The sequence below is a fragment of the Homo sapiens genome, chromosome 9 (genome assembly GCF_000001405.40).
Source record: "Homo sapiens chromosome 9, GRCh38.p14 Primary Assembly".
NCBI lineage: Eukaryota > Metazoa > Chordata > Mammalia > Primates > Hominidae > Homo > Homo sapiens.
The window spans coordinates 20,338,454-20,363,278 of NC_000009.12; the positions used below are offsets into that span (position 1 = coordinate 20,338,454).

A 24,825-nucleotide genomic window follows, 5' to 3' on the forward strand; every position below is an offset into this window, starting at 1 on the left:
TTTTCCTCGAAACTACAGTGACCACATGCCCTGATTTGCCAAAGACAGCTTTGATTTATTCATGTTGTCCTGGGATGATTATTAATAGTGTCCCATTTCCTTCTCAAAAATGTTCCAGTTTGCCAGATCTAGTGGTATGGACCTGTAGTCCCAACTACTTCTGAGACCAAAGCGGGAGGTTCACTTAAGCCTAGGAGTTCAAGACCATAGCATGTTATTATGTGCCTGTGAATAGCTACTGCACTACAGCCCTGGCAACGTAGAGAAATCCTGTATGTAAAAAAAAAAAAAAAAAAAAAAAAAAAATTCCAGTTTGGCCAAAAAGTTACATGGTTAGCTAATCCAGAAAACCACTTCTAGAGATAGTAATAGCCGTGTTGTCCTTCTCTGAAACTGTGCTACCCAAACTATGTTATAAACCTTGAAGAATGAAATACAGTTTAAAAACGATTTTGAGGCTGGGCGCGGTGGCTCAGGCCTGTAATTTCAGCACTTTGGGAGGCAGAGGCAGGCGGATCACAAGGTCAGGAGATCAAGACCATCCTGGCTAACACGGTGAAACCCCGTCTGTACTAAAAATACAACAAAAAATTAGCCAGGCGTGGTGGCGGGCACCTGTAGTCCCAGCTACTTGGGAGGCTGAGGCAGGAGAATGGCGTGAACACGGCAGGTGGTACTTGCAGTGAGCCGAGATCGCGCCACTGCACTCCAGCCTGGGTGACTGAGCCAGACTCCGTCTCATAAAAAAACAATAAAATAAAATAAAAACTATTTTGATAAAGAAACATTATTTTAAATGCCAAACAGCTATTATTATCTTGCATAACTACTATTGTGTTACATACTGTTTGGGAAATATTGCATTAAATAAAGTTAAACAAGTTTGACTATTGGTGGAACATGTGGCTTTCCAAGATTTAATATTTTAGTACGTCATGAATTGCCAAGAGGGTCATATACTGGGCAATTTTTCCAAACTTAAACGCAAAACCATTTCTCATGAAATGTCAAAAGAGGTTCATGTTCCACAAAATGCTCCCACATTTTCATTTGATAAATAGAGGTGTCTCGTATGTCTTGGACTTGTTCTAGGTCCTGGAATCAGCAGTGAACAAACCAAACTTCTTGCCCTCAGGTGCTTCTGTTCTAGTGGGGGAGACAGATAATAAACATGGAAACAAATAAGTATTGTAATTTGGAAAACAATGATTTATCCCCCAACTGATTCAAAGTCAAAACTCCCGACATCTAACAATTCTGAGGGATATTCATGAAGCAGCCTGTCTTCAGATGTGAGTTGGCAATGATTTGTGTCTCTCAAAAGCCATCGTCGGGCATCGTGTTTCCTGAATAAAAGAAGCTTCCCTTAAGAAGTCTCCGCCTTTGAACTAAGCGCGCTTCATTTGGCATTCTCATTAGTATAGATGTGCTTTTGGGGGAGTCCACCTTTATTTAGATTGCTTGTGGACCGTATTCGTGTGTACCTTTAATTTAATGCTATTTCCTGTCCTAGCTAGACCGAGGTGTTATTTAAAACAGCGTCCCTTTCAAAAGAGATGTTAATAGGTGCTTAGCACCCAGGGAATACATTCCAACAAATGAAGAGTTATACATTCTATGCCACACATCCCATCCCCTAGGGCTGGGGTGGCGAGAGACAAGAAGGTTCATACACACACACAGACACACACACACACACACACACACACACACACACACACACACACACACTCCTACCCTCTGATTGGTTCTGTGCAGAATAGAGACTCACATTTAAATGAATAAGCCAAGTTAAAACTTTCCATCCTGGAACAAAGCAAAAGGAAAGCCTCTTTATGTTGCAGGGACTATAGATGCCACGGGCTGAGCCTGTCCCAAAGCTTCCCTCCACTGCTCAAAAACTAAGCCATCTTGCTGCGTTTAGCACTTCTCACCAGACCACCCACCCAGACACGGATACACAAACCACATGTGTGAGGAATGCTGTTCGGCTAGGAAATCAGTATCAGTATTTCAACCTTGTTACTTGCACAGACGGCCCTTTTAGTGCGACTCATTTGTTTTATCTTTTCAATAGCTTTGATTATTTTCTTTTAATGGCCTGGATTTATCCTTTTCTACCCTTTTGAAGCCTCAGAACTCTGTGGTGGGGACTGCATGGGGTGGGAGACATGACTACATGATTAAGGGGAAAATGAGCAAATAACGTTGTCTTTACTCACCATCTATCTCCCACTCCTTGTGGGCACCTCCCATTCCATGCGGACTGCCGAGTGCCCTAGTAGTCACCCTGAATTGTTATAAAAGTGGACTCAAGGAGCCTTCTCATTCAGGTCGAAGACTATTTGTGCTGTTATTTAAGAGCCATAGGGCCCAGTTATCATTATCAGAGTGTTTTCTGGTTTGTGCCGTATATTTCTCTCACTAGCTCCTAGGGACCACATTGGTTACCCTTCTTTAATTAAGGGGAAATTAAGACCAAGAGGCTAAGCTGAGAGCCAAAGGCAATTTAACAACCTCTGGAAAAAATTGGAAACGCCTCTACAGAAGGGGACCGCATAAACAGGAAGGTATGGATACTATTACCTGGCAGAGAAAGCAGAAGCTTTGAAATGTGCTCCGTGTTTTCTATTTGGGTGGTATCCCTGGCAAGGAAACCAATAAAATACCCTTAGTTGTTCTACTAATCAGAATAAAACAAGACCACTAGTTTTGGAGACTTATTTCCCTGAATTAGCAACCAGAGAGGTCTGGGGGTCAGGCTTGGTTATCTGTCATCTCTCTCCAGGTTTCCTTGCATATCGAAATGGGGCCATAAATTGGAGAGACAGGAAACAAATTATTGGGGAAAACCATGTGGTGCAGTGCACCCCTGGGTGAGTGTGCTTCAGCAGGGCCTGGGGCTGATCTTGACCCTTTCTATACAGTGGAGAAGGTGTAAGGCCATTATTTTAAATAAAATTGAGTATCTATGCCACAACAAGGGAACAGATTAGTCCAATCCAAGTATGGTCATTAGAAAGTTCTACTGCCACCCCAACCCATCTGGGACTGATGCTTCCACACCTAAACTCAGTTTCGGGTTGATAAGAGACAAAGCAGTCCCCTCTAATCCCCTAAATGGCTTGTCAGCCTGAATGAAGATAAAGTCAGTTTCTCAAATTTGATGTAAATCTCCTTACTATTAAGTAAGAGCATCACATCCAATTCCTTGGTTATTTACCAAACTGAATGTATTTTATTCTCTTTGTTGTAGTAGTTGTTCTCCTTCCTGTCTAATCAAGGTAGCAGTTCTTGCTGTGAAAGTAAATGCAGGGACTTTGTAAGATCGACTCTCTCTGGCTATAGCACATTGTTTCTGAACAAAACCCTCCAAAGAAATAGGGGGGAAAGAAAAAATACCGGGCACACATAGCCCAGTTTATGCCAAAAAATGTATCCCACCACTTCTTGTTCCAATCTTTGCAGAGTTTTAAAAATATTATATATATACTGGCTTTAGGACACAGAAGATGGTGTTAGACATGAGGGACTCCTAAAATGAATGAGGCATGGACTCTCTGCCTTCAGCTGGTTTTGGACACATTGTCCTCTCTCTGGATGTCTCAGATCTCCCCATCTATTCTTCTTTAGAAACAGCATCACTTCTTGAGAAAAGGCTAGGGGCTAATTTTTCCTGTATGCAAAATAAAGCCAAACTTTGGTCAAATGACTCTCAGCAAATCAGTACAATTATACATTTTAAAAAAGGTGCTGAAACAGATTATATGAGTTTAAGTAAAACACCTATTTCTATCAATCTGTACTTACATTTCAACATGGATTTTAGAGAAGGGAAATACATCTTACAGTGTGCCTTGAATTCACACAAAAGCATGTACACATACACAATGTATCTTTCAACATAACTACACATACACAGTCCATTAAAAAGATACTGACAGATTTATAAAATGTATTGGCCTTGCACTGTTAATCTCAATAATACATTTTCACTTAATTTATTTTTGCACTGCATGGTAGCTCTGGCCACCATTAAGGATCTGTCAGCATTTCCATCATAACTCTATTTTCAGAATACTGGAGTACAAGTGCCAAAATACACATTTACAGTTTACAGACAGCGGTGGCTTTGTCTTCCTTTTAAATTGACTTCTTCACTGCATCTTTACAAGGAATATTCAGGGATGGCAGTGCCTACATAATAAAAAGCATCATATAAAACAAAAGAGGTCAAAAGATGTAGACTTCCAGCCCGAGACTAAACTAAACCATGGGAATTGACTCCTTAACATTCACTGCAGCTGTAGTAGTCTCTACATCATATTCATAGTTTTAGAGCAACAGTCCAAAGCAAGATTACTCTGATAATATATATGTGTATATATATATATATATGTATATATAAATATAGGAGCAGTACATAGCATTAGTACACAAAACGCTAAAGGTGGAAAGTAATAAGCATACAGCAAATTACTCCAGAGCAGATCACTTCTACAGTGACAAAAATAAACACGAGCCACCAAACAGACACTGACTGTTTCCAACACTGGACATCCAACTCCATTAAGTAGGCAAAGTTAAAACATTTAAGAGTAAAGTCTCTCTTAAACAAATATATTAACTACATTTGTGGAGCTTGAAGTAGTAAATAGGATGTTATACAGGCCTAAAATTGTTTCTTCTCTTTTTTTTAAAGATTAGGTGGGCCTGTAAAAGATATCGGCAAAAAAAAAAAAAAAAAAAAAAAAAAAAAAATTTTGAAGAAACTTTTTAGTGGAAGAAAACCAATATTACTGGCTCTTTCCACCAAAAGGTGAATATTCAGATTAGAGAGATTTAAATTGCCTAGCAATTTAAAATGTTTAAGACACTCTCTTAAGAGATATTTTTTTCCTGATCTGAAGTTTTTATAGTCTTCCCTACCTTGACACTATATGAACGCATTTATAGACATACCTATTTGTCTGTATTAAGATTGAGAGAGAGGCAGATTATGCTGAGGATGGTGAAGTAACTGCAAAATATTGTTGCTAACATGACTGTTACATCCGAAGACAGAAGGAACCCCAAACCCACCAACACACATCCTGCTGCAAAACCAGAGGCAAAAGCTAAGTTATAAGGGGGCAGAGGGGCAGGAGCTCTGTACATATATTTTTTCCCCTGGCTGATCACTGAGGAAAAATTTTTTAAAAGTTTATCATACTCTGGCTGGTTCAAACCATATTCACATTTACCCAATTAATTTTATTTGAAACATCTATTTATATATGTACACCAAAGAAATTAAACCCTGCCATTTTCCCTTTGTGCTTAAGAAACCAGAGCCACTGTTAGGGTACTCACATGTCAAAGATATTCTTAATAGGCTTCAAAGTTGGGTGTATATAAATGTGACAGAACTGAAGGGGTTACTTTAAGAGAGGTATTAAAACTACTTGAAATTAATTCAAAGGGATCTTTTTATTTCTGTATTTAAAAATTAGATGAGAGCAAGATTACCACTTCAAAAAAAATAACGTAACTCTCAGTCTTAATTTTGTGAAAAACTTACTTTGCTATCTTGATGAGTAGAAGATGGATAAGTTTTTCTGAACTTTATCAATTTACAAACTTACATTTTAGGATATTCTGAAGAAATTAACTTTATTACCTAATTTTCAAGTCTAAAGTTTATCATATAATAGCTGTCCTTCTTATCATTATTTTTGTTTGGTCATTTCTTATCTTACCTAGCTTCTTGGTTAGTAACTTAAAGGAAAAAATTTTTACATTGGCAAATCATATTTTTTGCCCCACAATTTAGTTACAGAAATAAAAATGGCCCAAACTACATATATACGTTTCTAGTTAAACTACACAGATATATTAAATCACATAAACTTCTGGCTTGATCAGAATATGTGTTAGCAGTTAGAAATTTTAAAATATTTTAAAAATTTGCAACATTTCCATATAAACATTACCCTCCCCTTCCAGCTATAAAGTTAAAAACAAAACGCAACTGAAACCACACAATTCATCAATCACCTAATGTCCAAAATGACTCAAAGTTTCTCTGCACATCAAGAAGTGGACAATACAACAAATGCTTCAAGTACGGTTCATGCCAATCGTCATTAAGAATCATAACATTATTGAGAAAGTACACTTGTCCTCTGGGAGGACGCTTCAGAGAAATAATTTACAAGGAGCATGGCTGTATTATAATTTTTTAAAGGAAAAATAGTTTCTTTGGATAGAAAGAAACAGTGTAAAAAATCCCCTTTTTAAAATGCAGAAATAACTCCATTATCAATCTGCATTTATATAACTGCCCAAAAGAATGGGTCTGGAAAGACCATTTTCTGTACAGACACTAGTTAATCTCTGTATGAAAAGACAGCATCTGGCATGGGAACAAACAAGGGAGATACTGGTCTATTAGCACACATAGAGACTTTCTTAAGGCTGATCCAGTGACGAACCTTTGGATCCAGAAGTATTTCTTCATTTCTCTTCTTTTCGGCTGAATTTCTAGTAAAAACTTTGAAGATGAGCTGTTCTTACTTTTCATTTCTCCACTTATGGAGAAGATGGAATAATGACACCAAAAGTACTTTGGTTTTTTTCTTTTAAAAATAATTTGCTTTCTTTTGCATGCCACAGGACAGATTTCTAGTTTCAAAACAAGGGTACAACAAGAACAAAAAAATCCCCCCATCCCCAACCGTCTTTCACCAATACAAGAAATCCTTCTGGAAATATTAGCAAGCAACTAAACAGGTATTGAACCACTGAATCTACAAGTTAATACATAATCTGTTATGGCAGAATAACCAAGAATTTTTCCCCAAAGAAAGATTTTAATTTTTTCAAATATAAAAGTGTCTAAGAGAATCATATGTGAACAAACAAAAATCTCTGATTCCAGATTTTTAGGATAAAGATGAGTAACACACTGGCAGCTGAAGAAAGCTGAAACTCTGACTAATAAATAGATCCAAATTAAGAATTTCTACAACAGTTTTTTTTTTTAGAAAACAGGACCAGAATTCTTTTTTTTTAAATGATGATCCTGTGGAATGCCTTTACTTCCATATTCACCTAATATTGTAACAGTAAAACAGACACAAGAATGTTGATGACAGCTCAACAATGCTGGATTCAGGACATTTACAGGTACACTTTTGTTTAAAAGTCCTACAAGTTTATTGACTAAGGCTAGACAGCAATTCATATGATCCTATTTGGTGCATTTTCTACCATGGTCCAAGATCATTACATGGATACAGCCAAGGACTGGGCCCCAACTTTCAGGAAAAAGACCACAAAGAAGAAAATCAAGGTGGCTATTTGGTCCCCCCAGTTGATAATCTGTGTCCTGGAACTGGAAAAACAAAAGGTGGAAAATACAGACTGCAACGAGTTAAAGGACTTGGAAAAAGTTGGTGGAAAGTGGCACGGTATACGAGTAAGGTCACTGGGCTTGGGATGGCAAGGGTGCTGCATTGAAAGAGCATCCACGGGACCAAGTACTTATAATGTCTGATGGTGTCATTCCCTCAACGACTTAGAATATCTGTATGCGATAATAAATAGATCAGTTATGTAATAAGGCAGTGTGTTGAATATGCATTCGTCCTGTGGAATGAACCACCACAGAGAGATACATGATACCATACACATTCTTTGAGTTTTCTTGTGTTGTGTTTGATTTGTTTGTTTTCAAGGCTATCCAGGCTAACTCTTCCCGGGGATTTCCTTGGAGAGAAGAGTGGTCCGCTGAGGCTGGTTTGCTTTAACCTCTCCTTTATCAAGAGATGATGACTGGCTTTAAAGAAAAATAAAGCTGAAGGTTGTTTGATTTTTATTTTTTCCCTTTTGGTTGCATCATTTTGAGTGTTTTCATATAAACAACAAGAACAAAAAATCACAACCAAAAAAAAAAAAAACCAAAAAAAAAAAACACAATAGTTCTTGATGCATCCAGTTGTTATATCCTCAGGATGTTCCAGATGTTTCCAGGTAACTCTGTAGTTTACGGACTGTGGTTTTGTCCAGCGAGCAAAGATCAAAATCAAATGTTGTGTTTGTGATATGAAAGTGTCCAGTTTCTTCTATAAGGTTCACGATCTAGAGGAGTGAAGAAGAGAAAGTTTGGGCAATACGCAGCAAACATCAAAAGGCAAAGAGAGAGTAATGGAGGGGCGATCAAATATGGAATCAAGTGATAAATATTCGTATTTATAGCAACAAGGTCCCATACCATGAATAGCATTAAACTGTCTCAGTCAACTTGATAAGTCAAAGGTATATTAAGCCTTAGAAATTCCCAGTGAGAACCTGTCTTGCTTTTCATACCCTTTAAACTGATGTCTGCTTTCAAGTCATGAACAGAATATTTAACTGTGAGTGAGCAGTTAGGGGGAGATAGCATTTCAAGACTCCTTTAAAAATTAGTTACTGACTCAATAGACAGTGATTATACTTAATAGACATAAGAAAAATCCAGCCGAGAAATAACAAAACTACTTTTACTTAAGTACAAACACATACACACACACACCCCTATATAAAATCATTTTCCTTTATCATTATATAATTGTTAATAATTTGGAAAATACAGGAACTCCCAAAAAAAAAAAAAAAAAAAAAGGAAAAGAAAGAAACTGTCTACAATCCCACCCCCTTAACAGATAGTGACCAGAGGGGGCTCAAGGGAGCCTTCTAGAGTACTGGAACTGTTTTGTTGTTTGACTTGGGTGCTAGTTACATAAGATGTTGTCACTTGGTGAAAATGTATCTACCTGAATGCTTTGTTATACTTTAACATAAAAATAAAAACATATTTATTACTTTTAGTTGTGTTCACTTGATTCCCCTGAATATTTTGGGGAGATTTTAAATATTTAAGGTATTCAATTAAATAGAAATATTATCTAGAAAAAGAAAGGATGCCTTTGTCTTGTCATTTGGAATAGTTATACCTCATTTCTTCTTGTATTGGCTCCAACTTTCAGAAAAATGTTAAATGACAGAGATGACGGTTACTATTACTCTTGCCCTGGCTTTCAGGAGAACACTTCTGAAGTCTCAACATTAAGAATGAAGGTGATGATTGGTTTGAGAGATTCTTTTACCATGTAAAGTATCTTCCCATTCCTATTCTACTAATAATTTTATTGGACATGGATGCTGTATCTGGGCAGTGTATTGGGCACAGCGTTTTTTGGGGGAGGCAGCAAAGTTAGTATCAGGGCAATAAAAGAAAATTTGCACAGAGTAAACAGCTGACAAACTTCTACCTGATTTGAGTTGTCTGTTATTCTCTTTCTATCACTTACCTCTGATTCTCTTTAGGTCAATAATCTTAAAAAAGAGAATAATTTTAATTATTGAGCCTATCATTTATTTAATGAAGTTTTAGATTACCTAATGCCACGCTGAGTAACAGCAGAACTGAAACTTTTAACCTTCTCTTCTTACAATTAGCTTTCTTTTAAAAAATACAGTAAATTTGTGAACTACTCCCTATAGGTCAGTGGCTCTTAATAGAAAATGTGCTCCCCATTCCTGACATATTATTTGACTTTCACAGAAGCATGACATATTAACTCTCAATCCAATTAACTGCTCAACTCCAGATTGAGCTGTTATTGTCTTACCCAATCTCTGGAACTATTTTTTAGGGATATAACTACAGCCTTAATATTAAAATAAGCTACTCTCATAGTGGATGCAACAACAGATGCTGCAAACTAACTCCCTAATATCGATTTATTCCTTAATTTTTTTTTATTAACGGAAGGCCGTTTTTCTGAGAGCTGCCCAACTACAATGTTTGCCTCCCCAGACCTACTTGCAGCACTTGTCAGATGCTGCTATTTACAATTTATTTGTCAGAACTCACTGTTTTCAGGAATATTTCTGAAAAGGGTATGGACAATGGGTATGCATCTTTTGCCTTCTTTCCTTCTTCCTGTGTGCAATGGGAATGCAGTGCTTGGAAGTGCAGCAGCTGTCTTCCCATTAAGAAGACGAATACAGCTTATGAAAGATGGAAGAAAAGAAAGACAAGGAGCCTGTGTCATCAGTGGCATCTTTTAAGCCACTATCTCGACCACGGATTACTTACCTCCAGGCTTACTGTTATAGGTGGGGAGGGAGTCAGAAGAAAACCTTACTTGCTTAAACCACTAGACTCAAGGTTCTGTTACATGCATCAAGAAATTCTTAGAAGGAGTGTACCCAATTATGGTTAAAGTGCTACATTTATGTAAAAATGTATCCAACAAGATCTTATTAACACTAAAAGATCTAAAATGGACACACATTTGTTTTATTAGTTATTAGTAACAGAACTTTCAAGAAGTCTTCCACACATATCCACACACATACAGAAACACAAACACACAGCTATGCCCACAGAGGCTTTTCATGTCAATCATATACTTACTATATAATTAAGATCAATTGAACTAAGACTATGTATTTTCTGGAATAATTTTTTTTTGCCATTTTGTGCAAAAATACTATGAATCTAGTGAAAATGTGTAAATTTCAGGATGGAAACAAGTAGTCTCTTTAGAGCTATTATAATTTCAAATTTATGCAATGGAGGCAAATAACAAGCTGACCAGAATTTGACTCCTTTCCTCAGCGAGCTGCCCAGTAGGTAATTGACAAAGCATTCAGAATAGAGTTCTGGATCTGGCATATCAAGTTCTGACTCTGCAAACTTTTTCAATGGTATTAGACAGAACATCATAACCTTTGAGCCTCAGTTTCCTCATCTGGAAAATGAGAGTAATGCTACCTGTTCTACTTGTACAAGTTTGGGCAGATGATCAAATAAGGTATCATAAATAAAGCTTCTTATAAATGGTAAATTGCTACCTAAGTCAGGATAACATGATTATGATTACCTTATAAACTGATCCTTAATTATCTGGGAGGTGACTAAACTGCACATGAATTATAGACCTGATGCTTTTTCCTCTCGCCCCCAATGAGTGTTAGCCATTTCATTAGCACTAAAATAAATGAGGCAAGAAAATGCAGAAACTAAAACTCAGAAAGGCCGGCTTGAATTAAAAAAAAAAAATTGTAACTCATTCTTTTAAGAAAACAGTTTTCCACGACCCAATATAGTTGTTCCCTAATTATTTAATAACAAATAGAAAACTGGGCAATAAAAAAATCCCTTCTAGAAAAAAAGCCACTTAATTTTAAAGCATATAAACACTTTTGCCCACTAGAAACGTCAGCCCGGGCATTTCTCATGCATTGTGCTATCTTGCAGATCTCCAGTACTTCCATCACCACCCGCTACCTCCTCTATCACCATGTTGTGCCCGGCCTGCAGCCACACATGCACAACAATATAAAGGGGATCTGATAAATCTAACTAAATGAGCCCCACGTTTTTATGAGAGCCCACAAGAATACATCAAGGTAGATGCAGAGAAACAGCCTTAAAGTAGTAGCAGTGGCAGCAGCTGGGGAGTTGGGAATTATTTGCCAAAGGGAATGGCATTAATGATTTGAATTATTAGAGCATGTGCCCACATCCTCATTTAAGTAAGGGCTCCATAAAGAAAAATAAGTGTGCATTGCTTTCCAGGAATCCTGATAGTTAGAACGTCAGAAACAACATTAACATGCTTTATTCCATTGACACAGGCCACAAAGCCTGAACACACCCCATGAGTGCCTGAAGAACTCCACTGTGCCTTTCTACAGGAATACCCTCTTTGCTGATGCAGTGTGGCTTGACCTTGACGTCATTACTCTGCATCATAGTGCAATAATTAACGTCTGTCCAAAATAATAATAATAGTAGATAGAGTGACTGCAGATAAGAAAAACAGGCGGCCGGGCGCGGTGGCTCACGCCTGTAATCCCAGCACTTTGGGAGGCCAAGGCGGGCGGATCACGAGGTCAGGAGATCAAGACCAACCCGGCTAAAACGGTGAAACCCCGTCTCTACTAAAAATACAAAAAATTAGCCGGGCGTGGTGGCGGGCGCCTGTAGTCCCAGCTACTTGGGAGGCTGAGGCAGGAGAATGGCGTGAACCCGGGAGGCGGAGCTTGCAGTGAGCCGAGATCCCGCCACTGCACTCCAGCCTGGGCGACAGAGCGAGACTCCGTCTCAAAAAAAGAAAGAAAGAAAAACAGGCAACCAGGTACATATGGGTAGTGGAAAAGGAAGAGTGTGTAAACTGCTTAACTCATTCTTCAGATGATGGTTGTTGTGAAAACATTCATGATGGATTATTTCCTGCCACATCAGCCTTTCAAGCGGTACTACGCAGGCTGTTGGATGTCTCATTTTGTTTTAAACAGGGTAAGATCCACTTGTCAGATCTGTGGCTCCCTTCCCCAATTTTTAATTATAAAAAGGTAAATGCATTGATTTTGGTCTGATTATAATTTCAAAAACCAGGGTTCTTTCCATGTGAAGCAGCCTCTTCGCTGTGTGGGGAGTAATGAACAGGCCTTACTTTAACTGCTTCTCTATGGAGTAGAGCCAGATCTGGGATAACATAGGTCTTCCCATAGAATGGCCTCTACTATGGTCTGGAAAGCACGGACAACCACCACATAAAAATGTGTGCCCTACCCTTGGTTAAGGGATAGGCCATCAGGCTCCAATCTACAAGGGGTGCTGAGATATGACAAGTAATTTCCCAGGATGGAGAACATCATTTTCATCAGAACATTTCTCAGGGAGGGTTCTCTGGGTTCTTAGAAGGAATATTCTAATACGCCACAGATTCCCCATTCCCTGCAGACAATTCGAAAAGAATGACGGCTGGCTTCTAAATTGCTAAACTACTCTCTTAGGAAACCTGGTTTCCCACAGAGTTTTCTTCCCCCAGACGTGGATGCAAATCCAGGCTTAGAGCTGAATTGCTGGGGAGGTTACATATGTTCAATCTCACTTTCCAAATAAATGTGGAACATGTGGTTTAAAGAGCAATCAAATTATTCATCAGTCCTAGGTAATCACTTCTCTTGGTTTGACTGTGTCTACTCTACTGTATTTATACCCTTTGAAAAAGTGGCTTAGGAACACAGGCTCCTTGATCCAATGCTGTCTGTTCATTAAACTAGCTGCCGAGTGCCAGGACTGCATGCCCCCAGAGGAAAACAAAGTTATTAACCGCTTTTTGTGAGCCAAATAAAATCGTCAGGCCAGATTTTTGGATAGGATGCATTTAACAGGAAAGGACCTAGATGTGATCCTGGGCCCACCAGAAATTCTGCTTCAGGTGTTCAAGTCTGCACGGCAGAGAATACGTAGACTTTGTGGAATGAATTCCATGAGATGAGCAGCCCTCAAGGTGGAGAATAACATTAGTCCTCAATAGTGCTATGTTTTACAAAAGGAATTAATTAAGCAGTAAACCGTGACAGGACATGCATCATGGTATCATAATCACAAGCCTCAGCTGCATTACAAGGCAAAAGGCCAAAGACTGAGAGCTTTCAACCGGCCTGGGAATGCAATTAGGGTGAAATGCTGTGTGCCCTGGAGTGCCTTTATGCCAGGTTAAAAATTCACAGATATTACTCTCTCCCTCTAGAATACTAAAATAATCCACTTGGATGGAGTTCTCCAGTAAGCCACCTTTCTTCGCAATTCTTATAAGGTCAAAATAAAGGACAACATTAAATTGCGAATGCCAATGACACCCCAAGGTAAGATCTGCCCAATGGCCTAGTATCCTTGACTAACTGATAGGGCTTTCTTTGTGAAGATGTCCCAACCCTGCACAAACATCTGTCCCACCCTCCTATGAGACTCACTATTTGGGCCCAGCTTGGGCATTAATAGCTTTATTGGACAATTGCTCCACAGTGGTTCAGAGCTGGTGTTTGGGAAGAGACGAGAAAGATCATGCAATAGATCTGCAATCAGCATTATGCCAGCCCCAAATATTTGGAAAATGACAGGTAAAACAACGTTCGGTTCTTCAAAAGAGGCCTAAGAAGAATATTAGCAAAGTACTAGACCACCACTCATGGTAGGCCACTTAAGTCCTGCTTCCTTACCCATACTAACTAAAAAGAAACTGCAAGAAATGCAACTTATCTGCAATTAAGAATCATAGGTCTGTAGTCTTTTGTTCAAATCTAAAATTCTACAAGGGTTAAAAAGCTTATCAGGCCAGTCAGGAAACTTGGCAAGTTTGAGAGTATATATTTATAGATGTAAGCAAAAATGTACACAGAATATAAATGTGACCACCAGCCATTAAATGTTAAAAAAAAAAAAAAAAACCCACACACAGCTGGGGTAGATTAAGTACTAACGTCAAGTCATTTGAAAGTAGTAAAAAAAAAAAGAAGAAAAAAATTCAAACAGCGAAACAATCTACATGTCTGCCCTGGAATTTAGAACACACATTCTTCTCTTTGGGTGTTAAAAAAAATTACCAATAGCTGCTGGTAGTGCAACAGAGGCATACATCATTAACTGAATGAAAATGAAAAACCACCCTTCTTATCTTCTCAAAACATCAAATTATACTAATAGAAGTTTCCCCACTCTACAAGTATTCCACTACAAGTATTCCACAGTTGAGTTCATAATAATAGAATGTATGTCATACAAGATAAGGGAAATGAAGAAAATATTTATTTTCCTTAGAATATCATTGGCAAAGGTTACTAAATTGAATCACAAATGTTTACAACACTTGACTCAAATTCTTATCACTGTTTTCCCATGAAACCAGAAGCCTGGCCCCAAAGCTTTTTGCATTTCTACTGTCCCCTCCCTGAGCCCACATTACACCAGCCATCTGAGGGATCACTACAATCCAGTATCACTTCCCAAATTGCCCAGTTCTCACCATCCACTGCACTAGAGGAGGGAGAACAGTTGCCATAGAGCTCCAGAGCAGACTTCTAGGTGGCCTCAGAAATGAGAACCTTTCCCAAATACATCTACAGGTGGCATTCGCCAGGTTCTGATAGCGTGGGGCTGCAGTGGCCTCCAGGTGCTATCACACTACTGCAGGACAAACCAAGTCTTGAAGTTTCTGGAAAGGGTTGTGCTAAAAAGCATTTCTCACCTGCTGCAGAATGTGTCTTTCTCTCAATGTCATTAACCTTCTGTGAAGCTCTACCAGTTCATCTAGGTATGCCTGAAAGAGAAGAATGTCCCCGAAAAGGACAAGCACTTTAAGTAGTAGTTCAAAAATAAATGAATATGTAAGTAAGAACACACAGGCAGCAGCAGCTGGAGGTTTCTCATTACACCACTCTAGCCCAGGCTGTGTGCACTCAGTGCCCAAAGGCCTCTGCAGAACAAGCCTGTCTTGGACCAGTCATTACCTTTATCACACCAACTTCAAAAAGGGAGTTGGAGTGAATTCTTGGACTTAATTGCTCTTATGAAGATTCAAGTCAGTAGACTCACTTTCCTCCAACAATATCTCTACAAAAGGTAGGGAAATTAAATGCTAAATTGTGAGTTTAAACATATTAACAAAGGCTACTTTCATTTTTTTTTCATTCTTGAATCTCAGAAGGTTTCTAAGAGAAAAAAATTCTAAGTTTGAACATGGAAACAAGAATGTACATTACCAATTAAGTCAGGGGAATTTTGTGGGGTTTTTCCTGTTTGTTTTGTTTTTGTTTTAAAAAGGCTTCCTGGTCATACCAAACATTGCTAGTAAGCAATGCCAGCAAGTGACAGAAGAACAGAAGAATGTATTACGAAAAACAGGGATCACTATCTAATTATCATCTGATTTGTGAAGAGCTCCCCTGAAAGGGGAGAGGGGGTACCTCTCTTTCCATATGCTCAGACTCACGAGTCTTTGTTAGTGTAACTGCATGGGTGCCCCCAGCACCATTTGCGATAAAGGCAAATGAAAGATTTGTGAAACATTACAGAGGTCTGCCCTGGCCCTACAGAGCAAGGTTAGGGCTCTGCCCAAACCAGGCAACTTAACCCCACCAGGTGTTGTAGTCAGGTTTCAGAAGCATGACGCACACTCTGGGAAAGCACACTGCACTAGCATCAGATGTCTTGCTCATCTACATCTGAGATTCCTTAATATTCTATCTCTACCACAATTCTCTTAATTCCCAATTCAATGTGCCTGAAATCCCTTGGCAACGTAGGCATCATGGCAAATGACAGCATAAGGCCAAGCTTAATACTGAAGATATAAACAACACATGGAAAACAAACTACAAAGCACTGGGATGAAATACTCATCATTTGGGCATCTTGGACACTTTGATGAAGAAAATGAAAGGAGAACCAGCAAGGATGATCAAGGGCAACACAAAGAAACGGAAGGCTTGTCAGTGTTGGAGCCCTCCTAGTAACAGACTAGAAACCTACCTTGTCACATTCACCATTCTTTATTTGCTTATCTGATTTGCTTTGCTTTATTGGACTTTTCACTTCAAGAATCTAGGGATCAAAGAGAACGCTGTGTTAAATTTTATTTCAAGCATCTCTTAGCTAACCAGCCACCTAAACAAAGGCATCCACTGAATGAAATGTACAGTAACATTTGCTTTCCAAATAGCATTTCTTTTCTATACATTTTCCTTCTTCTCTCTAATCTTATTTTCCTTGGAAAATGAATTACTTAGATCTGAAATGCTGAGTCAGAAAAGTAGAACTAAAAAAAAAAAAAAAAAAAAAACAACACAGTTGATGATAAGGAAATTGATCTAAGCTTCCAAGGCTGCTTCTCTTTTGCGACAACACTCTCACCATATGTATAGCAGCTGAGTTATACAGAGATTATAGTTCCCTCTGGCAAGAATTTTTTTCCTATTCATTCTGCTGTTTCAGCATGACTACTAGTGTTCAGTATGCTAGGGATGATAAAAACAAATACTCAAATGCCCTTTTTAGTACCTAACTTTCACATTCTAAAATTACTCATATGCACAAAACTGATACAGCTTTGGAAATGAAGATGGCCGACTATCTTCTGTGTTTTAAGAAATGATGTGTTTACCCTTGGTAAAACGCCAAGTGCTTTTCCTTTTATCTGGACTGATTACAACTTAAGTTATGAATAGCTTTACATACTGTATAGAAGCTTTGGTGGGAAGCTATGTTTCTACTTAATAAAAAGGAGAAGCAAATTATTATTTAATAAATGCAGCTGATTTCTTTGACAGCATCTTCAAAACTGAGGATTAAAAGGGAAGTATTTTTAAATGGTCCTCACTTGAAAAAGCTTGAAACCACTAAATTTATAAATGATGAGTGCTTACACATGTGTATAAACACAAAAAGCAAAGTAATTTGTCTTTTTCATTATAACTCATTATGAAGTGAGTTGTTATAACTGGAGACTAATATTAAAGGAGGAAAATGCCAAATAAAGGACCTAATTTATCTTAAGAGGTTTTATATTCCTACTGTTCTCTTTACCCATTCTGTGCCCTAACTTAGTAACACTTCTGTCCACAAGTTTACCACATTCCGTAACATAAAGATTTTAAGAATGAGTCCACTTTTAATCTGTAGTGGCAAGAGCACTGATTAGGCTCAGAAGCCCAAGTTCAAGTCCCAGCCTTATTATTTAATATTTTTGGACCGCAAAGGATGAAATGGGAGAGATGAACAAGATAAGACCCAGATTCCCATTCAGCTTTAACATTTTTTATTACTAATAAACATTTTACTGGATGAGGATAGGAACATGACATCCTGGAAAAGACCGAATACTCCTGAAGGGGCATATTTTTATTTTAATTGAGAATAATGCACGAGTAAAAAGTGTCCTTTTAACAGTCTTTCCTGACAATCATGCTTTTTTTCATCATTTTTAATATGAAGATAACCAAATGACTAATTTGACCAGGCTAACTTAAAATACAATACTTTTGGCAACACAAGGAAATTACGTATTAACAGAGGCAAGGCAATCGTTTTTAACATGCTCCACTGTAAAGGAAACCAAATACTCCACTACATTCAGAATTTCCTCCTCCATTGTTGTTGAAAGTGAGATCTCAAGGGAAAAATCAGCGCTGAGACCTAGGAGCAAGTAGGTCAGTAGATGGCACTCCTCGCCAACTCAGATACTGGGCTGGGCATGCAGAGACAATCCGCTGAGATTTCAGGCAAGAAAAAAAGAAAAAAAAAGTGCCTGCCTGCTTGACTTGTGCATTACAGAACTGAATTTTGTTCCCATCATATCCCGCTGCCTCCCACGATCCCCTCCTCCAACTCCTGTACTCTGGGTGTTGAAGTGACTTGAGGACGCTGTATTTGCAATAGAACTTTGCTAACTAGGTTTAGAGAGTTCTGCCACCTTTTCTTCAAAGCAGAAAATAGAACATTTGGACGCTGAAGTCCCACCCCACACATTCCGTAAGTGCTACAGCACAGAAGGCCAAAATACATTGAAATCCTAGTTTCTTTCTTCTGAAGTTGCAGTGGCAGGAACAAAAGCTCCGGGTGTCAGTGACCCGCCTCAAGTTACTGAGTGGCTGCCCAGAGAGGGCTCAGTTAATCTTCCTTCTTTGATCTCTCCCTGCTCCAAAATAAACAGCTTTGTCAAAACCTCATTCTGAGAGAGCTGAGCCCTGCTGAAGACAATTGTTTTATTTATGATCATTTCTTATCTTTAGGGAAACAACTCCAGAATAAAAAAGTACAACACCTTGTCTTCCACAGGCTTATTTTAAACCAGTTTAACTGGATAGACTCTTTTTAATTTCATTCAACATGCCTTGCAGGCTGATAGGTGATTTATGATATTCTGAATATTAACCCGGGTCCAATGGATCACTTCCTTCCTTCAAGTCCTTTCTCCCCTCCCTCCCTGCCAAGCTTCTGGCTAAAAAAGATGTGGTATTTTGTTTTTGTTTGAAATTCACATAAGGGAGGTTTGGAGTGAAAAAACCATCTCTGGTTGAAATGACGCAACACTCTTTATTATTACCTATTAAATTGTACTGAGAGAAGCAGAGCTACCTAGACTGCCTAGCTACTCCATTTATAGATACAGCAGTCTCTGAAAATAGAAGAATTGTGGTTTAGTAGCACTTTTGTCTTTAATCTGAGAAAATGTCTTGACAAACGTTCAAGATTATATTTTTCTGTATCACTTTATGAAGAATGACAACTCAGTTATTCACAGATGGATTCTCTACTGATAGATCTTTCATACTAATGACAGTAGCTCCCAACAGTACTCAGGTTAATTACTTGCTTGGTTGACGTGTGACTCTATGTTCACTTTTATTCAGTATGAAAATATTTGACTCCATTAGTACTTCCCCTCTTCTCTAGTCCCTGGAAGATTTGAGAAAAGGCAATGGACATTTCAGCTTTGCCTGGTGCTTTATCAAACTCAGAGATCATTATCAATTCATAGAGAGAGAACAGGCAAGGAGTATGGAAGGAGGAAACTCAAGAGTGTTCCCATTTCGGAGTTAGTCCTTCCAAGTATGTTCTCAACTCTTTATTAATCGTGAAAATTCAGATTCATACTCTTTCTCTATCCCTGTCTCTCTCCCCCTACTTTTCTCCCTCCCTCCTGCGCACACACACACACACACACACACACACACACACATTCAAATACGACTAAAAAGTCATTCCAGAGTGAAATTTAGTTGACTTTTAGATTTTTAAGAAATTTTTACTCTCTTATACCATCAACATAGAGAATTAAGATATACTAGTAATTTTTTTTAAGTCCCAGAAGCTTGACTTAAAGGGATAGCATCACACCTGACCCCAGTGCAAGTGATTTGAGGGGCTAGGAAACCAATACTAAACAAGGTTTAAGAAACCTTTACTTGTCCTCTCGGCTCCAAGACATAGCTCTAAGAAGGTAAGCCCTCCTGTGGTATATATATTTCCTAACCCAGACTAGCTAAAAGTGGAAGCATACGGACTTTCTTACCATGCTTACAAGTGCATGGAGAAAGTGACACATAATACAGTATTATTGGCAGACTGATGATTCACATGTGTGAAGCAACACTTGCCAAATAAACACGCCAAGGAACCAGGAGTATGCTACTTAATCAGATAAGGTAACTTTTACCCTCTCCAGATAGACGATACTATTCGTTTTTGGTTTTGTTTTGCTAGACAGGTAAAAAACAGTCTGACAAAGAGTCTAAACCTTTCCCTAAAGCCAAGGTCTGTTCAAGACTGCCCATTCAGGAAGGGCTTAAGTGAAGCCATAAGGTTTGAAGGGCATGAAAGGTGCTTGCTGGAGTTGCATTCCCTAGCAAGCCCACTTTTCACTATGATTGGGAGAGATACTGAAGGAGATGAGTGAGGGGCACAAAAGCAGAGCCTAATGCCCTACACTCCTGGCCCTGCCACTGCTGTGCCCATGACGTATTGTAGCTCTCATATACCACCCACTGGATACAGAAATCAAGCTGAAATATGCCTAGGTTGGATTTAAAAATATCATCGGCTGGGAGCGGTGGCTCATGCCTGTAATCCCAGCACTTTGTGAGGCGCATGATGAGGTCAAGAGATCGAGACCATCCTGGCCAACATGGTGAAACCCCGTCTCTACTAAAAATACAAAAATTAGCTGGGCGTGGTGGCATGCACCTGTAGTCCCAGCTACTCGCGGGGCTGAGGCAGGAGAATCGCTTGAACCCAGGAGGCGGAGGTTGCAGTGAGCCAAGATCGCGCCATTGCACTCCAGCCTGGGCAACAAGAGCAAAACTCCATCTCAAAAAAAAAAAAAAAAAAAAAAAAAAAAAATCTCACCAAGGTTCAAATTCTATTCTAATGCTAGTTCTCACTGAAGCACAAATTTACAAAAGGATCCCAAATTTTCTAGTTAACCAGTCCAGTGTTCTCAGCTGATTGGCCATGATGCATATGTCTTTCCTCTTTTTACTTTCCTCTGAAATGCCTGACTTGTGGTGGCAGGCATCCACACCAGAGGTAAAAGACGGCTGGGCCATGAGCACAGCTGGCCCTGAAGATGGGGAAGAGCCAGGATATGGAAAAAGAAGTAAATAACTTGCTGAATACCCCATCTATAAGAGATAATGAGGCTGGACTTTGATTTTAATGTAGGACACAAAGAAATTGCAGTTGAACTGTAACTGGTACAACAAAGAGTACTGGTATCATTCCTACTTAACAAGAACGGATTTGCATTATAGACAAACCTTATAAATGAGGAATTTTAAACTATAAGAGATCTTTGCTAGTGCTTTAAATAAAATGCAAAAAGAAAAAGTCTTCAGCTCTAAACTAACATTTTCCAAGTAACACAAAGACCACGGATTTAAGGGCAAGACTATTTAAAATTGAAGGACACCTGTGAAACAGTATTTTCAGAAAAACACAGTTGTTTAGTTTTCAAGTTAATATTCGTACAGTAACTTGAATTAAGCAGTTATTGTAGAGGTCATAGGAAATCTGTCGACACAAAAAGATAAGAAAAACTTATGGTAATGAGAGTATCAATTCAATGCTCAATGAGGCTTTTACATTATTCATGATACTGAAAATAGTTTATTTTAGTTGGTAAAGAAAATATCCCGATTTAATTTATTTAACAAATGCTCTTTATCATAGCCTTCAAAGTTCTGCCTAGATCTTATCCAAATAGTTATATTTTGAGTTGACTATCAAATTAATAAGCTTTCCTTTAGCTCAAGTTGTAACAATGATAATGACCATTATTTTCTCAGCATTTTATTAATTATTCCTTAAAATCCCAAGTAATAATCCTTCTATCTTGGACGAGAAAACTGAGGCCGAACACCTATAATAATAAACTACCATCAACTGAGTGCCAAGGAGGGGCTGTGCACTGCCTTTTGCTCTTTACATATATTATTTGTCATCTTCCCAATAACCTAAAAGATAGTGTTAATGTCATTTACAGATAAGGAAACTGAGAATCAAAAGCTAAAAGTTAATTTCCCACCAGTAAATTACCAGTGGTAAAGAACCAAGCTCTATACTAGGCCCAAAGGTCATATTCTTCCTAATTAAGGCACCTACTTACTGCTGAAGTGTAAAGTATATAGAAATCAGGAGTAAATGGTAAATGGGCAATACTTTTTGTCACCCTCTCTTATTGTACTAACTTAATTAACCCATCTGGTGGAACATATTCATCTTCTCATGACAGCAGAACCTCTTATACCCTAACTATGTGTTTATTCCACAGGCTGTGGCCTCCCTCCCATCTATTTGGCATCAAGAGGAAGTTTGTTTAAAATTCAGGGATGAAAGTTTTGCATGCTTTGTAAAAATGATTACACCTAGCTCTGCAGAGTCTTGCAAAGTGCAAACCCCACAATTTACCTGGTTGTTGTTGGTTTTTAGTAAGGGTGGTGGAGGTTCGTGATGTAGGGGTGAAGAAGCAGAACTGCTTTCACTATCGCTGCCATCACTTAAGCTAACTCTGAAAAGAAACAGACAAGTTATGCACATCATTACAAACAGATGATTCTTGAAATACCCATAGAAATAGGCGTGGAAAGCACAGAATCCAAACACTAACCCTTGACAAGTTCATTTTAACTCACAGCCGCTAACACATATTGGTGCTTACTTTGTAACTGGAACTGTGTTAAGTGCTTTACCTGCCATTTCTCTTTTCATGATCTCCTGTTTCACAGACGAGTAAACTGAGACTCAGAAAGACTGGGTCACTCATCTAGGGTCACACAGGTAAAAATGGTGGCTCTGGAATTCAAATACAAGCAAGTGGCCCAAAGCTAGTGCTCAGCCACTATACTTTACTGGGGTCATTTATTCATTCATCTCCCTTCTCCTGCTCTCCCTACCTACTATGATCAAGCATGCTACTCAAGCTTACAGAAGGTCAGCAAAATTAGTTTGTTGATTACTACCTTTATTTTCCTTTCCTCCTCCCTCTCTGTTACAGATGAAAAAGTTACAAACATGTCTAGAATACACGCTGCAGGGGAAGAAGCAACCACATAAATGAAACTTCATAAAGAATGTAGAAAACAGCCCTGCACCGCTGACAGCACAGAGTGACATCTAAGGATTGAACATGTGGAGCCCGGCATGCTAGGACCATTACCAATCATTTCTACTGTGTCATTATTCAAGGCTGTCTCTAGTTCTGAACACTGATACAACAATTCATTGGAAATACGCTACAACAACACAAAGAAATGGTATGTTTGGGATAACCGCTTTGGAAAACTACAATGATATATTTTAAAAATTAAAGAACTAAAGACAATCCACACCACCTCCTCCCCATTTTTTCTTTTCAGAAGAAAATGGAATTTTCTTTTATCCACAATAGGAGAGATTTATTTATTCTACTGTGCTGAATGTAGTCCTCCCTCAGAGATGTCCTCTTTCCGTATTTGCTCCCCTCCTCTCTGGTTATATAGCACCTAATGTAATATGCTTCTCAGAAACAGAAACTGTTTTAGAAATCAGGATAGTTTTTCTTTCACTCTGAATAGGCAATCACATTCTAGCTCTATAATGTATTCAGACAGACAAGATACAAGATAGGAAATGAAAAGGATACACTGGGACATCCTTTTAGCAAAAACTGATAGAACTTGTTTTTCTTAACTAAATTACATTAATGAAGTGTTCAGTTGAAGTGCTGTTTTAAAATGTGTCTTGAGTGAAGTGGAAGGCTAAGTATTTAAACTGATTAAACAGTTGAGACTTCACAAGTGCAGTGAAGATCAAATGTTACACTGGCACTGACATGCTAACACAGCACGGTCAGGCAGGGAACAAGAAAAGCAGCCCCCAAAATGTGTATCTGTATCAGATGACTCACAAACCTACATGATGACCACACAGACTCAGGAGTTGCAGCAATAAGTAGGTGGGCAACAACTAATCACAGAATATCCAGATATTCTAAATAACAACTAGGGAAATCATCTAAATAGGTCATACGTTTTTCATCAACTAAACTTGAGAGCAGCCAGTGGTCAGGATTTTGGTTGGTATAAGTAAGCTACTTTAAGTTTCAGTCCATTTTGAGGTCTTTTTTCCCTATCAGTTTCCTTTTTATCAGACAAAAGACTTCTAAAGGGAAATGTTATAAGGCCATGGGCATATTAAAGAGGTTATATTCTCCTATTTAAAAGGAATGCTGACAGGTTGGTCTGAGAGACAAGGAGAGAAACAGGGGTTGAATATGACCATAAAAAACAGTCACTGAGATATCTAATGGGGCACACACCCTGAGGAGGCTCTTTTCAGAGGACAAAGCATTGGCAATTAGGAAGCATCGGTCTCTCCAGTTTGGGTTAAGACCGCTTTTTTTTTTTTTTTTTTTTTTGAATCTTAGGGTCTTCTACATAGTAATGGATAACAGGGAAAGATTTAATGCAATATATTATAAATGTAATTGGATTTTAAATTCAAGTAGATTCGTATTTTTTCCACTCAAGACAAATTAAAGTAAGCATGCCTATTTGTTTTCTTCATGATAAAGAAATAAAATCCTCAGGGCAATTTCAAGTTGAGTATTAATTATAAGTGACATGAATTACCATCTTATAACATGGAATTATGCCTCACAGCATTAAAGCTACTTAAGGCACTTAATTGTCAGCACACTTAAAAGGAATTTATTTTCTGGAAAACACACAGGTGATCCTAGTTTTAATTAGGTCACACACATAATTCACTGGAGCCAATTATGTATTTCTAACTACAAACAGCAAACACATTTCTTCAAATTCTGAGACTATCTCCAGCAGTGGATCAACACAAACTCTTCAAATGAAAACAGACTTTAGTTCAACAGTCAGTCCTGCCACTTGGCATACTTTTCCAAGGACAAGGACATCTAATGTGACTTTTTCCTATAAAAATTTTTAGAGGAA

The 24,825-nt window shown here is 38.4% G+C and overlaps 1 protein-coding gene and 1 long non-coding RNA gene across 4 annotated transcripts in view; one reads left to right on the forward strand and one right to left on the reverse strand.

Annotated features, from left to right (window-relative positions):
- Nucleotides 1–3,215: 3,215 nt before the first annotated feature.
- MLLT3 (MLLT3 super elongation complex subunit) overlaps nucleotides 3,216–24,825 on the reverse strand; it is a 280,831-nt gene continuing 259,221 nt past the window's right edge. For both annotated transcript variants that reach the window (NM_004529.4, NM_001286691.2), the window contains exons 8-11: nucleotides 22,289–22,388; nucleotides 16,355–16,426; nucleotides 15,072–15,143; nucleotides 3,216–8,121 (exon numbers count right to left, since the gene is read on the reverse strand). In NM_004529.4, the coding sequence (NP_004520.2) occupies nucleotides 7,990–8,121; nucleotides 15,072–15,143; nucleotides 16,355–16,426; nucleotides 22,289–22,388 (376 nt within the window). In that variant the 3' untranslated portion in view covers nucleotides 3,216–7,989. The remainder of the gene's footprint in view (nucleotides 8,122–15,071; nucleotides 15,144–16,354; nucleotides 16,427–22,288; nucleotides 22,389–24,825) is intronic.
- On the forward strand, nucleotides 8,666–23,003 carry LOC124902129 (uncharacterized). 2 transcript variants are annotated; one of them, XR_007061434.1, is made up of 4 exons: nucleotides 8,666–12,334; nucleotides 13,578–13,692; nucleotides 13,853–13,947; nucleotides 22,875–23,003. It is a non-coding gene; the product is annotated as an uncharacterized LOC124902129 (long non-coding RNA). The 2 variants fall into 2 exon arrangements; XR_007061433.1 differs by lacking the exon at nucleotides 13,853–13,947.